Genomic DNA, 13,206 nt, shown 5'->3' with positions numbered 1-13,206 from the left:
AACAAAACAAAAAAAGCCCCAGCTTTGTTCTAGTCAAGGAAACAAATGGGGTAAATGACGTGCTGGAAAGTGGAGGCGTGGCGTGTCAGGTGGTGGTAAACAGGCAAGAGTTAGGCAGGGTAACCAGGGAACGCCCCTGCAAACAGGACTTCTAAATAAATAAAGACCTGAAGGAAGTAGGCAGGCAGGCCACGGAGATACCTCGTGGAAGGAGGAACAGCAAGTGCATGGGCCGAGTGTGGGACTTGCCTGGTGTGCTCAAGGTCTGGCAGGCAGGCCTGGGTGGCTGCAGCACAATAGCAAAGGGCGGGTTGGGGTGGAGAAATCAGGAATGGTGGGGCTGGATCAGTGGAGCCTGGTGGGGAGCTGCTGGAGGGCTTGGGGCCAGGGAGGGATGTGGCCTGACTTGGGTTTTAAATGGACCCCTCTGGCTGCCGGGAGGAGAGTGGACTGAAGGGAAACTAGGGCAGAAATAGAGAGACAGGTCTGGAGGCTCTTTCTTTCTTTCTTTCTTTCTTTCTTTTTCTTTCTTTCTTTCTTTCTTTCTTTCTTTCTTTCTTTTTCTTTCTTTCTTTCTTTCTTTTTCTTTCTTTTTCTTTCTTTTTCTTTCTTTTTCTTTCTTTTTTGAGACAGACACTGGGCAGCATCGTGTTCTTCCAGCGGACGTGTCTAGAACATCTGTGCCCGGGCCTAGAGCAGTCTTGTCCCTCTCTGGCCCCACAGCTCCCCTGGGCCCATTCCTTTTTGATGGCACCTTCTTATCTGTGGTGAGGGCCACCCGCTGCCCCTCCCTCCTTCCTATCCCTGTATCTTCTGCTCCCTGGTCTTGAGCATCTGGGGCCCGAGCTGCCTGGGCATTGGTTGGAAGTAGCCCTGATTCAGAGCTCAGCTCTGGAGTCACTAGCTGGGTGACCCTAGACAGTTTGTTCGACCTAGCCAGCCTTGTTAAGCCTTCATTTCCTCTTGAGCAGGAGGTCAGGCTCTGGATGTCTCCGGAGGTTGTTTGAAGGATTGGGCAAGCTGAGGCAGTTGGAAGCTACTCTGAGGTGTGGCATGAATGAGGGCGTGGCTGTGGTGGGCAGTGGTGACCTGAGCTACCCCCAAGTATCCGCCCCCAGCCCTGCTCTGGCAGCCCCTGCAGCTGCTCTGGGTAAGGGAGCAGGGCCAGCATTCTATCTCACTGCTGTTCTCTGCTCTCCCCGCAGGTGGAAGGCTTTAGGGCCACCATGGCGCAGCGCCTGGTGCGCGTGCTGCAGATCTGTGCTGGCCACGTGCCCGGTGTCTCAGCTCTGAACCTGCTGTCCCTGCTGAGAAGCTCTGAGGGCCCCTCCCTGGAGGACCTGTGAGGGTGGCTGGCCCCTGGGCTGCCCCTTCTCATGGCTTCGTGCTGACTCCATAAACATTCTCTGTTGAGGATGTCCAGTCAGGGCTTGACAGGCCCAGGCTCAGCCCGCCGTGGCTGGGAAGGTTCCCTGCAGTGCCAGTGCTGCAGCAGGGAGAGCTGGGCAGAAGCAGCGAGGGGGCCCAGCTGGCGAGACTGTAGCCCCCTCCCACTCCCACACTCACTCTTGCAGAGCCTGTGTCTTTAAGCAGCTGGCGTGTTACATCTCCATTTAAGGTTTCCTTTGAACAAAAGGTCTGTGGCTAAAAAAAGTTTAAAAATCACTGGTCTCATTCACCACTTTGACTTTGTAGATGAGGAAACTGACTCAGAACAATTAAGAGTAGGGCAGGGTGGGCCAGGTGCAGAGGCTCACGCCTGTAATCCCAGCACTTTGGGAGGCCGAGGTGGGTGGATCACTTGAAGTCAGGAATTCGAGACCATCCTGGCCAACATGGTGTATCCCTGTCTCTACAAAAATACAAAAATTAGCCAGATGTGGTGGTGGGCGCCTGTAGTCCCAGCTACTCAGGAGGCTGAGGCAGGAGAATCACTTGAACCCGGGAGGCGGAGGTTGCAGTGAGCTGAGACTGTGCCACTGCACTCCAGCCTGGGCAACACAGTGAGACTCCACCTCAAAAAAAAAAAAAAAAAAAAGCGAGACCAGCCTGGCCAACATAGTGAAACCCTGTCTCTACTAAAAATACAAAAATTAGCCAGGCATGGTGATGCAGGCCTGTAGTCTCAACTACTCGGGAGGCTGAAGCAGGAGAATCACTTGAACCTGGGAGGCGGAGGTGGTGTTGAACCGAGATTACACCACTGCACTCCAGCCTGGGCAACAGAGCGAGACTCCGTCTCAAAAAAAAAAAAAAAAAATGCTGGGCGCGGTGGTTCCCACCTATAATTCCAGCACTTTGGGAGGCCGAGGCGGGCAGATCACAAGGTCAGGAGATCGAGACCATCCTGGCTAACAGTGAAACTCTGCCTCTACTAAAAATACAAACAAATTAGCCAGGCATGGTGGCGGGCATCTGTAGTCCTAGCTACTTGGGAGGCTGAGGCAGAAGACCGGCATGAACCTGGGAGGCGGAGCTTGCAGTAAGCTGAGATCGCGCCACTGCACTCCAGCCTGGGCGACAGAGCGAGACTCTGTCTCAAAGAAAAAAAAAGGAGTGGGGCGGGGTAAGGGGAGCTTGGACTCGTTATGCCAGTCAGACTCCACATCCTGGCCCTGCTATTATAGAACCTGGTTGTTGCCTCTTGGAGCTTGTTTTCTCAGATGTGAATGGAGATGAGGTTCTGCTCACCTTGTCACGTTGGGAGGATTGAATGAGACGATGGACATGCCTGGGACTGTGTGACCCCCCATGCCTGCGAGTAGGTTGCTGTGTTCATAACATGTGTTAATGCCTTGCACCTTGCTAGGTAGGCACTCAGTGAACAGTAACTATTTGAAATCACATGGAAAGCCGAGGCGGGCGGATTGCCTGAGCTCAGGAGTTTGTGGCTGGCCTGGCAACACGGTGAAACCCCGTCTCCACTAAAATACAGAAAATTAGCCGGGCATGGCAGTCTGTGCCTATAGTCCCAGCTACTTGGGAGGCTGAGGCAGGAAAATTGCTTGAACCCAGGAGGCGGAGGTTGCAGTGAGCTGAGATCGTACCACTGCACTTCAGCCCAGGCAGCGGAGCGAGACTCTATCTCCAAAAAAGAAATCACACAGCGGAGTTCAAAAACTGGTGCAAATTAGGAATTACACCACTGTCAGAAGTTTGCAAGAAGTGAGAAAAGCTGGCTGGAGGTCTCATTTTGGGGTTGATGGCGAGAGATTGTACAGTGCCAGTTGCTTTCCTTCTCCCTTGGGTCTAATTGGAGATTGTAGAGGCATCAGAAGTGGACTCTAGAAATCCCATAGAGAGCCAGGTCCTGACTCCCTTGGAACATGACAGTGCCCTCCCCACATTCACCCTGCATGTGCCAGGGCATGCCCACCAGCCTCAGGCCTCAGGATGGACCCCAGTTGAAGCCCTGGGCAGCACTGCACCAGCACCTCGGGGCCTGTCTGCTTTTTTCTTTTTTTTTGGTTGGTGGGGTGTGGAGTCTTGCTCTGTCGCCCAGGCTGGAGTGCAGTGGCGTGATCTCAACTCACTGCAGCCTCTGCTCCCTGGTTCAAGTGATTCTCCTGCCTCAGCCTCCCGAGCAGCTGAGATTACAGGTGCACGCCACCATGCCCAGCTAATTTTTGTATTTTTAGTAGACACAGGTTTCGCCATGTTGGCCAGGCTGGTCTCAAACTCCTGACCTCACGTGATCTGCCACCCTTGGCCTCCCAAAGTGCTGGGATTACAGGTGTGAGAGTCACCGCGGCCGGCCTAAGGCCTCTCTGCTTTGATGTCACCATCGCAGCTGGGCCCATGCCCTTCACTGAGGGGTGGGCCGCCTTCTAACTCCTTGTAGGTGTCGGGGATGCGGCCCTATCTGCCCCTTTCTGTAGGTTCCTTCTGGAACTTAGCTCAGGCCCCACCCCTAGTGCTCAGTAAGGGTTTGTAGACACCTGGCTGACTTCCTGGCAGTCCCTTGGGCTCCGCTGAGGACTTCAGCCACGTAGATTCCGGTCGAGGCCCCACATGTCACCCGACATTTGCAGGCACGTCATGCTTCACAGAGCTCTTCTCACACAGCAGACCTGTGAGGTAGATGATGTTTCCCCAATTCACAGTTCATGAAACAGACCGTTGTCATGGGAGGTGTGTCACAGTCACACAGCTAACTGGCAGCAGAGCCAGCCCCACTCTGCTTCTCTCCAGTTTTTCTGTGTGCCTGCCTAATCCTTGAAGAAAGGTTTGGAGGCCAGGCGCAGTGGCTCACGCCTGTAATCCCAACACTTTGGGAGGCCACGGTGGGCAGATCACTTGAGGTCAGGAGTTCGAGACCAGCCTGAGTAACACGGTGAAACCCCGCCTTTACTAAAAATACAAAATTAGCCGAGCATGGTGCCATGCGCCTGTAATCCCAGCTACTTGGGAGGCTGAGGCAGGAGAATCACTTGAAACCAGGAGGCAGAGGTTGCAGTGAGCTGAGATTGCACCACTGCACTCCAGCCTGGGTGACAGAGAGACTCCATCTCAAAAAAAAAAAAAAAAGATTTGGGCATCTCCACTGGCCAGGCCCTGAGCTGGAATACAGAAGGTGGAGACAGCCCGTGTGCTCCAGAAAGCAGCAGTCTGCAAGCCATGGTTCCTGCCTCAGGATGGGACCACTAGAACACAGCATCGCGAGAGGGCAGGGGGTGGCAGGATAGGCCCGAGGGCAGAGGCCCTTAGCGTGGGAGCAGAGTGGTGCAGGCTCTGGGCCTGAGCAGGCCTTCGCCCGCAGCAAAAAGCCCCTCGGGCACTTGGTCGGGGAAGCCAGCCTCTGCTTGAGGAGGGGAGGCTCCAGGGCAGAAGGAAGAGGCTGGAGGTGAACCTTCACTTTGGTCCCTGAAGGGATGGGCAGTAGCAGCAGAGCCCGGAAGGCCAGCCTTCCCAGAGAGTGACCTTGTCTTTGGCCCTTCTGTCCTTGGCCAGAATGCGTGTCTTTGCAGGGTAACTGGAGGGTAGAGTAGGTCTTTGGCGGGGCTGATGGAATGGGTGTCCAAGCAGGGGAGGAAGGCGGTGTGGATGCAGCCTGCCTGATCTGGGATGTCACTTTTTGCTGGCGACCAGGAGGAGAGGCCTTCCCCCACACCCCCTCCCCCCCATGCCCGCATGGGGCACCTCTCTCAGGTCCCTGTGCCACATTTTCCTTGCCACCTGGTACCATTTAACAAGAGAAGTGGCATCGCATTCTCCAGCCAAGAGTCTGGGAACCTTCCAAGCACTGGGGAACACAGTGCTGTCACTGCCGCCAGCTCCCAGCTGAGCTTGGCAGGGGCCCTGGAACCAGGAGGCCTCCCCTCTAGAGTTGGGGGCTGGCCTGCCCCTGCCTCACAGCAGAGCTGAGCCACACTTAAATGGCAGGCAGGTGCCCTCAGACCTGCTGTCCCTGGAAGGCGGGGGATGGGTGGCCAGAGAGTGGGGTTGCTTCACGCCATCTGGAGACCCAGTGACATTGTCCAGGAGACAGTTTGGCTGAGGGAAGTAATGGAAGATCAGTGTGTGCCGGAATTGGGGCTTGGTACTGAGGTAAGGTGGAGGGAGATGGGAGAGGCTGGGCTTGGCTGCTTGCTTGGTGGCGTGACCTCAGGCAGGTCACTCACCCTCGGCAAGCCTCAGTTCCTCAGCTGTAGCGTGGCGCCAGGCTAACCGATGCCTTTCTTCCTAGCTAGTTGAGGACTGGCAATGAAGAAGCCACTATTTTATGTATTTATTTAGAGATGGGGTCTTGCTATGCTGCCCAGGCTGGTCTCAAATTGCTGGCCTCAAGCCCATTATTTTGAACATAAAGCTTTAAACAAATGTCAGATGCCTCAGGGTGGCCATGGTCATGACGTGGTCATTGCAGGATGTTGAAGGCGGGCAAGAACCCCCTAGGCCTACAGGCTGGGAATGGGGGGGCGAAGGCTACTGGAAGCGGCGCCTCTTCAGCTGGGCCTGGAAGCTGCCCCGTCCGTGCTCTTATAAGCTGGAAGGAAGGTGGTGTTTGGGCCCCACTCTTAGAGGAGTAGAGCTTACTCGGAGTCACACACTCATTTGTCCCCCTCATTCCACCTGGCTGTGAGCAGTCCTTGGGACCCCAGGGAGTTCACGTTCTCCATGGCCAGTGGTCCAGGCCCGAGTGTCCTGGCCTCAATCTGATGGTGTTTCCCATCCCTACCAAGGAGGCAGGACCTTCCTAGCAAGGAGGGGCTCTGCAGCCTGGGCCCCGTGTCTCCTGCACCCCCGGTGAGCAGAGGCAGGAGCAGCCCAGCTGCAGAGGGGAAGTGGTGCAGTGGGAACAGGAGCAGCCTCCGAGTCCCACCGACTTGGGGTCTGTGGCTGATCTGCAGTGTGACTTGGGGCAGCCCACTTCCCTCTCCAAGCCCCACTGCCTGCCCCCCTTTTCAGGTCTTGTGAGGCTTGGAGAGAAACTGAAGAGCCTGACTCCATGCCAGCCCTTCCACCCTCTACAGACAGTGGCTCGGTACGGGCTGGCAGGCTGGTGGGCGAGGAGAGCCGTGGGGTTCTTGAGACAAGGCCCTGTTACAGTTGCCCCCAACCCACACGCATCAGGGGTGCTGGGCCAGGCCTGCTGGCAGGGCTCGAGCACAAAGGGACGTTTTCTGGAAGGTTCTGTTGGCTTAGCCCCTCCCCTCCAGTGTACCCTGGGGTCAGAAGGACACAGGCAGAGAGTCTCTGTGAAAGAATGTCTCACACTTGGGGGCTGAGGGAGACAGTGGGGTGGGCTGCCAGGCTGTGTACCCTAAGTCTGCGGGTCCCACCTGAGTATGGGATGCTGTGGACTGGGGGCTGCTGAGGGCAGCTCCCTGGGGAGAGTGGGTAGGTACTTCCCAGAGCCCCGGACCTGCACAGGAGGCAGCCTTCCCTGGACCGCCCTCTTCCATCAAAGGGTATGCCAGCCGAACTTGGGGCCCCTGCGAGCTGGCCAGGCCCAAGGGGTCCCCCAGCCCTCCTCCTCCAATATGCTTGGCCAGCCTCCCTGTGAGGACACAGACCCCTGGGCCTCACCCCCACCCCCACCCCCTCTCCCTGCCGCTGTCCGCACACGGGAAGAGGACCCCACTGATGTGTGTAGTGTGGCAGGCTCAGGGGCTGCCTGGCGGGCCCCTTTACTCTAGCCTGCTTTCCCTCTTTGTAAAGTGGGACCAGTCGTGCTAGCCCCACACAGGGCTGAGGGAGGAGACGGCCGGGTAGGGAGATGCTTTGCGCACAGCCCTTTTCCTGGTCACTGGGCCTTCTCTGCTTCCCCCAGACATCCTTGGGGATCGCTCCACCCTGTCCTCTGTTCCGAGGTCACCATCCACCAGGCCTTCTCTGACTCCCCTGTTTGAAATTGCACCCATAACCCTCGAGCACCCTGCCCTTCTGACTTTTTCTCCCCAGCACTCCTTACCTCCCCACCCACTACGTTGTGTCCCATTTGGGTTTCCTCTCTGCTTCCCTGCTATTTCCCCAGAACCCAAAACAGCTCCTGGTGCCTGGTAGGTGCTAAGTGAGTGAGTGGCGAGTGACGGGGAGGCATCCGCGCAGGGGTCGGCCTCTGCGTTCACAAGGGCCTTCCTGCGTGGTACCCTGAATAAGGCCTGGGAGGTTGGCCCTGGGGGCCCCCGTTCCTCTCCCCCTTGCCTACCCTGGCCTTACAGCCTCCCTCTACTTCACACACCTGGCCCCCAAGAGGTGGGGGCTTTGCTCCCTGTGGCTAAAGGGCTGTGGTCTGCCCTCTAGTCTCACATGGAGGGCCCATGTCCTCTATCCCGGGGCCATGCTGAGAGTGGCTGGGGTGCCCTGGCCAGACCCTGTGGAGTGCAGGAGCGCGCGTGTGTGCGCACGTGTGCATGGAGTGGCGGGCTGGATGACAGGCAGCTCCAGCCCATGAAGACCCAGGCAAGGATTTGTGACTGCTTCATGGAAGGGCGTGACCTGCCCTCCCCTGGTGTGGGTTCGGGGAGGAACGGGATCTGGGGACTCCCAGGCCTCTGCCTCTGGGTCACACTGCTCTGGACTCGCCAGGACTTTGTGCTGATTCCGTGGCCACTCTGCCCTCTCCCAATGAACCGAGGCCCACGGCACTGCATCCTTTCCCCTGGCCCCAGCAAGAGGTACTCTGTAGCATTGTACTTGTTTGTGGGGGCTTTTAAATACAGGAGAAGGGAAAGGAAATAACCACAAGGGGTGGTCCTGGCGCTGTCATGAGACAAAATGGAGCCAAGAGAGCTGACTCGAAGCCCTGCAGGCCCAACCCAGCCAGCAGAGCCATCTCCACTGCTGACCCCATTCCTGGAACACGGGAAAAGCTGTTTGTGTGTACACCTACACGAGGGGGCAAAGGCACAGAACCAGGCAGTGAAGAAAGGCTCCCAAGGGAAAACAGAGACTCCCTCTGGGGACCGTGGGGAAACGCCCTTTGTCACTCATAGACTTCTGTATTGTTTGCAGGTTTTTCCTGAGCACGTGTTCAGGTACTACTGCATAATTACAACGAAAACTGATTTTGAAGTACAGAGTGCATCCCAGGCCCCAGAGCAGTTTCACATCCAGATCTGGGGGACTGGGCCTCTCTGTCCCCAAGGACTGCTCCCCATGACACTGTGCTTGTCCCATCCCCAGAGTGCTCTCACTTTCCCCAACCCCGTCCCTGAAGCATGTAGGGCCCAGGCCACGCTTCACAGTCAGGTGGACACAGACCCCCTGCAGGCCCCTCCCATCTGCTGGCTCATCTTGAGAGGGCCCTTGCCCCTTAAAGCCTCTGTTTTCTCATCTGGAAAATGTCCTAATAGTACCTGCATCAGATCCTTGTGAGGGTGTCTTCAGGAGAATTGGGGCACAAAAATCGACAGAAACCCCCTTCTCTCTGAAGACCCCAAACTATCTTGTTATTTTATTATTATTTTTTTTTTTTCTGAGATGGGGTCTCGCTCTGTCAGCCAGGCTGGAGTGCAGTGGCACGACCTCAGCTCACTGTAACCTCTGGCTTCCGGGTTCAAACAATTCTTCCTGCCTCAGCCTCCCAAGTAGCTGGGATTACAGGCGCCAGCTACGACACCCGGCTAATTTTTTTTTTTTTTTAAATTTCTTATAGAGAGAGGGTTTCACCATGTTGGCCAGGCTGGTCTCAAACTCCTGACTTCTGGTGATCCACCCGCCTCGGTCTCCCAAAGTGTTGGGATTACAGGCATGAGCCACCACACCAGGCCCAAATTATCTTTTTAAAAAGAGTATTCAGTGAATTAAAAGTAGAGCATGGTGGCCGGGTGCAGTGGCTCACGCCTGTAATCCCAGCACTTTGGGAGGCCGAGGCGCGCAGGTCGCTTGAGACCAGGAGTTCGAGACCAGCCTGGCCAACATGGTGAAGCCCCGTCTCTACTAAAATGCAAAAGTTAGCTGGGCATGGTGGCACGTGCCTGTTATCCGAGCTACTGGGGTGGCTGAGGCACGAGAATCGCTTGAACCCAGGAGGTGGAGGTTGCAGTGAGCCAAGATCGTGCCATTGCATTCCAGCCTGGGCAACAGAGCGAGACTCCATCTCAAAAAAAAAAAAAAAAGACTTGAATAAAGAAATTAGGCCAGGAGTGGTGGCTCATGCCTGTAATCCCAGCACTTTGGGAGGCCAAAGTGGGCAGATCACCTGAGGTCAGGAGTTTGAGACTAGCCTCCCCAACATGGCGAAACCCCACCTCTCCTAAAAATACAAAAAATTAGCCGGGCCTGGTGGCAGGTGCCTGTAATCCCACGTACTCAGGAGGCTGAGGCAGGAGAATCGCTTGAACCTGGGAGTTGGGTGTTGCAGTGAGCTGAGTTGGGTGTTGCTTATCGCACTGCTGTATTCCAGCCTGGGCGATAAGAGTGAAACTCCATCTCAAAAAAAAAGAAAAGAAATTAGGCCAGGCGTGTTGGCCAAGGTGGGTGGATCACTTGAGGTCAGGAGTTCAAGACCAGCCTGGCTAGCATGGTGAAACCCCATTTCTACTAAAAATACAAAAAAATTTAGCCAGGCATGGTGGCCCGTGCCTGTAGTCCCAGCTACGTGGGAGGCTGAGGCAGGAGAATGGCTTGAACCCAGGAGGCAGAGGCTGCAGTGAGCCGAGATCACGCCACTGCACTCCAGCCTGGGTGACAGAGCCAGACTCCGTCTCAAAAAAAAAAGGGACGCGGTGGCTCACGTCTGTAATCCCATCACTTTGGGAGGGCGAGGCGGGCAGATCTCGAGGTGAGGAGATCAAGACCATCCTGGCTAACGGTGAAACCCCGTCTCTACTAAAAATACAAAAAATTTGCCGGGCATGGTGGCGGGCGCCTGTAGTCCCAGCTACTCGGGAGGCTGAGGCAGGAGAATGGCGTGAACCTGGGAGGCGGAGCTTGCAGTGAGCGGAGATTGCGCCACTGCACTCCAGCCTGGGCGACAGAGAGAGACTCCGTCTCAAAAAAAAAAAAAAAAAAAAAAAAAAGCCACGGGGAAATAAGAATACATTGAGGAGTAAACTAACATTCCCCACATTGGTCTGATTGTGAATTCTTCTTAACTGTTTTGTCATCCAAGTAGCGACACAGGGCCTGCTGCAGCCCCCCACCCCCACCCCATTTAGGAGGCCCAAGTGGAAAGGTTCATGTGAGGCCAGGCACCTGCACACAACACAGACACGAATCCCGCAGGCCTTTTGTCCCGGCACCTGGCCCAGCACATAGGGAGCGCCCAGCAAACATTTGTGTCACATGAGTGGGTGTCTCATTTGTGTCTGCTGCTCTTAGCAGCTGGCCTCCCTCTCTGGCCAAGGTAAGGGACCCTGGAACTCTGACAGTGGGCTCCAGCCCTCCCACTCTCTCTGGCCTTGAGAGCAGTCTCCTCGAGTCTCTGCTGGGGGTCAGAGCAGCCAGTGCTTCTGCTGTGAAACGCAGACCTGGGGCAGGCGGACCCCCTCCTCCTAACTCCTGTAAATTCTCCCGACTCTGGCCTCACTGGGCCACCCTCTCCAGGGACAGGTTCCCCGTTCCTGGGTTCCCACAAGCCTCAGTCTGCCCACATGGCTGGCACAAGGGCTAAATGAGCTGCCTGGTACTCAGTCAGGCCTCTGCAGCCCTCACTAATGGGTAATACCAGCACCAACATGGATGGACGTGTATGTGGGTGGCAGGGTTATGGCTCAGTCTTCTGGCTTTGTCCCCACCTCTCTGCCTCACAGAGAGGCCTTCCCTGCCCTGGCTCCCCTCCAGGGTCCTGTCCCCCATCCCTGTACCGTACACCCACGCTCACCCACACCTGCCCCCACCCCCACATCACCATACACCCACGCTCACCCACACCTGCCCCCAGCCCCACTTCTCCTTTGCAGCTCCCCTCCGCCCACACCTTCCTGCCTGGGAGCTGCTGGCCCATGTACAGGGGATGGAGAGGGTGGGCCAGCGCCCACCAGTCAGGGCTGGCTGACTGGGGTTCTTTGTGAACCTTCAGGGTCTCCCAAGCTGGAAACCTGGGGGTCGGCCTTGCTCCCCTCACTCCATGGCCAGCCGCTGCATCATCCCCTGCCCTGGGCCACCTGCCCTGGACGTGGGCCACAGTGCCAGAGAGAGGGACCCTTGCAGGTACAGCTCAGAATCTCCCTCCTACCCAGACACCCCCAGGTTCTGTACTGCCCCGGGACTGGTGCCCTGCCCATCCGCAGCCCGGATGCTCCCTCCTCCCTCCCAGCATCCCCTGTGGCAGTGGCCATGCCTGCCCCCAGAGCAGCTCAGGCTCCCCTTTCATCTCTCCAAGCCTTAGCCCCTGCAGCCCTCCGCCTGGAGTGTTTGCCTCCCCCTCGCTGCTGCTCAGGGTCTCCCTCTGCCCCCAGGCTCCCTCCCCAGCCCCTGAGTTTCTCCTCTCACTGTGCTTCCCCAGCCCTGAGTGCTTAGGGGTCTGGGTGGCATGTGTGGCATTTAACCCCATGCTCTCTGCTGAGCCCTGAGCTCCCAGAGTTCCCTCCAGCCCTGGCCCTGGGGAGGGGGTAGCATGTGACCAGGAGGGCGGAGGGGCTTGTGTGTGTTTCTGAGACGCAGTCTGAGAGAGACACGGGTGACAGACAGTTGGGGACCCCAAACACTGGGGAGCAGAGATAGACAGGAGGGGCCCGCAGTGAGACACAGAGGTGAGCAGGAGAGGACACATAGCCCTGGAGAAAAGGAGCAGGTGTGGGCGGGCTTCCCTCCACTGCAGTCACAGTTCCCTCACTCATAGGCAGATCTTCCTGGGTCCTCCCTGCACAAAGCCCCAGTGGCTCCCTCGTGTCCCCCAGCCACAGTCCAAGCTCCCTAATGTGCTAGATAAGGCCCCAGTCCAGCCTTTCGGTCCCAGCACTCCCTGGACTTCCTGTTTGGGCCTCCAAGCCTTTGCTCCCCTTTGGCCTTCACCCCCATCTGCTCCCTAGACCTCAGTCCATCTGGCAAACACTTCACCATCGCCCTCTCCATGAAGCCTTCCGGCCCACCTTCCAGGATGACGTGAGCTGGTGCCCTTGCTGCGAGGCTGTCTTCCCCCATCAGCACAAGTGTGAGATTCCCTCAGGGCAGACCCACATGCTACTTGGGCCTGGTACAAGTGTCTGATGTCAGGCTGGGCACTGTGGCTTCACACCTATAATCCCAGCACTTTGGGAGGCCGAGGAGGGCGGATCACCTGAGGTCAGGAGTTCGAGACCAGCCTGGCCAAATGGTGAAACCCCACCTCTACTAAAAATACAAAAATTAGCCGGGCATGGTGGTGCATGCCTGTAATCCCAGTTACTCGGGAGGCTGAGGCAGGAGAATCGCTTGAATCTGGGAGGCAGAGGTTGCAGTGAGCCGAGATTGCACCACTGCACAGAGCCAGACTCTTTTTCAAAAAAAAAAAAAAAAAAAGCAGGTGTCTGATATCCCCAACCAGCTCTGTCCAGGAAGGGCAGGAAGAGAGGAGGAGACAGGTGGGTTGGGGGAGATGGCAGGGGAGCACTCGGGGTCATGGAGAGGCTTTGGCTAGACGGAGCAGAGGAACCACTCAGGGTCTGTGTCCTGGCTGCGGGGTCCATCCCCCTCCCTACCCAAGAGGAGGCTCTGGTCTGCCCCCAGACACCTCCCAGCACCCAGCAGAGGGCCCACCCAGGCGGTGCTGGTTGAGGGGCTGAATTGGGGAACCACAGGTAGAAAGAGAGGCCAGGCCGGGTGCGGTGGCTCACGCCT

The 13,206-nt window shown here is 56.9% G+C and overlaps 1 protein-coding gene across 7 annotated transcripts in view, besides 12 other annotated features; it reads left to right on the top strand.

Annotated features, from left to right (window-relative positions):
* Window positions 1–336: part of an enhancer, noted in NCBI's record as "active region_19149", that runs on past the window's edge. NCBI's record gives its function as "activates an Ori minimal core promoter by ATAC-STARR-seq in GM12878 lymphoblastoid cells {active_cell/tissue: GM12878}" and the evidence as "EXISTENCE:reporter gene assay evidence [ECO:0000049][PMID:35858748]".
* Window positions 1–794: part of an enhancer, noted in NCBI's record as "H3K27ac-H3K4me1 hESC enhancer chr22:42335612-42336579 (GRCh37/hg19 assembly coordinates)", that runs on past the window's edge. NCBI's record gives its function as "activates a minimal SCP1, AML or CMV promoter by ChIP-STARR-seq in naive H9 embryonic stem cells {active_cell/tissue: H9 hESC(naive)}" and the evidence as "EXISTENCE:reporter gene assay evidence [ECO:0000049][PMID:30033119]".
* Window positions 1–13,206, top strand: part of CENPM (centromere protein M) — a 19,957-nt gene extending 6,751 nt beyond the window's left edge. For 5 of the 7 annotated variants that reach the window (NM_001002876.3, NM_024053.5, NM_001304373.2 and 2 more), the window contains one exon: window positions 1,206–1,665. In NM_001002876.3, coding sequence (NP_001002876.1) covers window positions 1,206–1,219 — 14 coding nt within the window. In that variant the 3' untranslated portion in view covers window positions 1,220–1,665. Of the gene's footprint in view, window positions 1–182; window positions 264–1,205; window positions 1,666–11,467; window positions 11,599–12,419 lie in introns of those variants that run through there. The other 2 variants (XM_011530368.3, NM_001110215.3) reach the window with 2 other exon arrangements.
* Window positions 3,512–4,584: an enhancer, noted in NCBI's record as "amplified fragment containing the chr22:42331822-42332894 (GRCh37) CAGE-defined region". NCBI's record gives its function as "transcribed enhancer in B cells {active_cell/tissue: B cell}" and the evidence as "EXISTENCE:reporter gene assay evidence [ECO:0000049][PMID:24670763]".
* Window positions 3,611–3,670: an enhancer, noted in NCBI's record as "active region_19148". NCBI's record gives its function as "activates an Ori minimal core promoter by ATAC-STARR-seq in GM12878 lymphoblastoid cells {active_cell/tissue: GM12878}" and the evidence as "EXISTENCE:reporter gene assay evidence [ECO:0000049][PMID:35858748]".
* Window positions 3,711–3,850: an enhancer, noted in NCBI's record as "active region_19147". NCBI's record gives its function as "activates an Ori minimal core promoter by ATAC-STARR-seq in GM12878 lymphoblastoid cells {active_cell/tissue: GM12878}" and the evidence as "EXISTENCE:reporter gene assay evidence [ECO:0000049][PMID:35858748]".
* Window positions 3,891–4,150: an enhancer, noted in NCBI's record as "active region_19146". NCBI's record gives its function as "activates an Ori minimal core promoter by ATAC-STARR-seq in GM12878 lymphoblastoid cells {active_cell/tissue: GM12878}" and the evidence as "EXISTENCE:reporter gene assay evidence [ECO:0000049][PMID:35858748]".
* Window positions 4,201–4,280: an enhancer, noted in NCBI's record as "active region_19145". NCBI's record gives its function as "activates an Ori minimal core promoter by ATAC-STARR-seq in GM12878 lymphoblastoid cells {active_cell/tissue: GM12878}" and the evidence as "EXISTENCE:reporter gene assay evidence [ECO:0000049][PMID:35858748]".
* Window positions 4,601–4,710: an enhancer, noted in NCBI's record as "active region_19144". NCBI's record gives its function as "activates an Ori minimal core promoter by ATAC-STARR-seq in GM12878 lymphoblastoid cells {active_cell/tissue: GM12878}" and the evidence as "EXISTENCE:reporter gene assay evidence [ECO:0000049][PMID:35858748]".
* Window positions 7,326–7,833: an enhancer, noted in NCBI's record as "H3K4me1 hESC enhancer chr22:42328573-42329080 (GRCh37/hg19 assembly coordinates)". NCBI's record gives its function as "activates a minimal SCP1, AML or CMV promoter by ChIP-STARR-seq in naive H9 embryonic stem cells {active_cell/tissue: H9 hESC(naive)}" and the evidence as "EXISTENCE:reporter gene assay evidence [ECO:0000049][PMID:30033119]".
* Window positions 10,377–10,986: an enhancer, noted in NCBI's record as "H3K4me1 hESC enhancer chr22:42325420-42326029 (GRCh37/hg19 assembly coordinates)". NCBI's record gives its function as "activates a minimal SCP1, AML or CMV promoter by ChIP-STARR-seq in primed H9 embryonic stem cells {active_cell/tissue: H9 hESC(primed)}" and the evidence as "EXISTENCE:reporter gene assay evidence [ECO:0000049][PMID:30033119]".
* Window positions 10,987–11,597: an enhancer, noted in NCBI's record as "H3K4me1 hESC enhancer chr22:42324809-42325419 (GRCh37/hg19 assembly coordinates)". NCBI's record gives its function as "activates a minimal SCP1, AML or CMV promoter by ChIP-STARR-seq in primed H9 embryonic stem cells {active_cell/tissue: H9 hESC(primed)}" and the evidence as "EXISTENCE:reporter gene assay evidence [ECO:0000049][PMID:30033119]".
* Window positions 11,741–11,810: an enhancer, noted in NCBI's record as "active region_19143". NCBI's record gives its function as "activates an Ori minimal core promoter by ATAC-STARR-seq in GM12878 lymphoblastoid cells {active_cell/tissue: GM12878}" and the evidence as "EXISTENCE:reporter gene assay evidence [ECO:0000049][PMID:35858748]".

Source organism: Homo sapiens, chromosome 22, assembly GCF_000001405.40.
Source record: "Homo sapiens chromosome 22, GRCh38.p14 Primary Assembly".
In the NCBI taxonomy this organism is placed as follows: Eukaryota; Metazoa; Chordata; class Mammalia; order Primates; family Hominidae; genus Homo; species Homo sapiens.
Note: the sequence above shows the minus strand (reverse complement) of the source record. Positions and strands in the feature narration are given on the sequence as shown.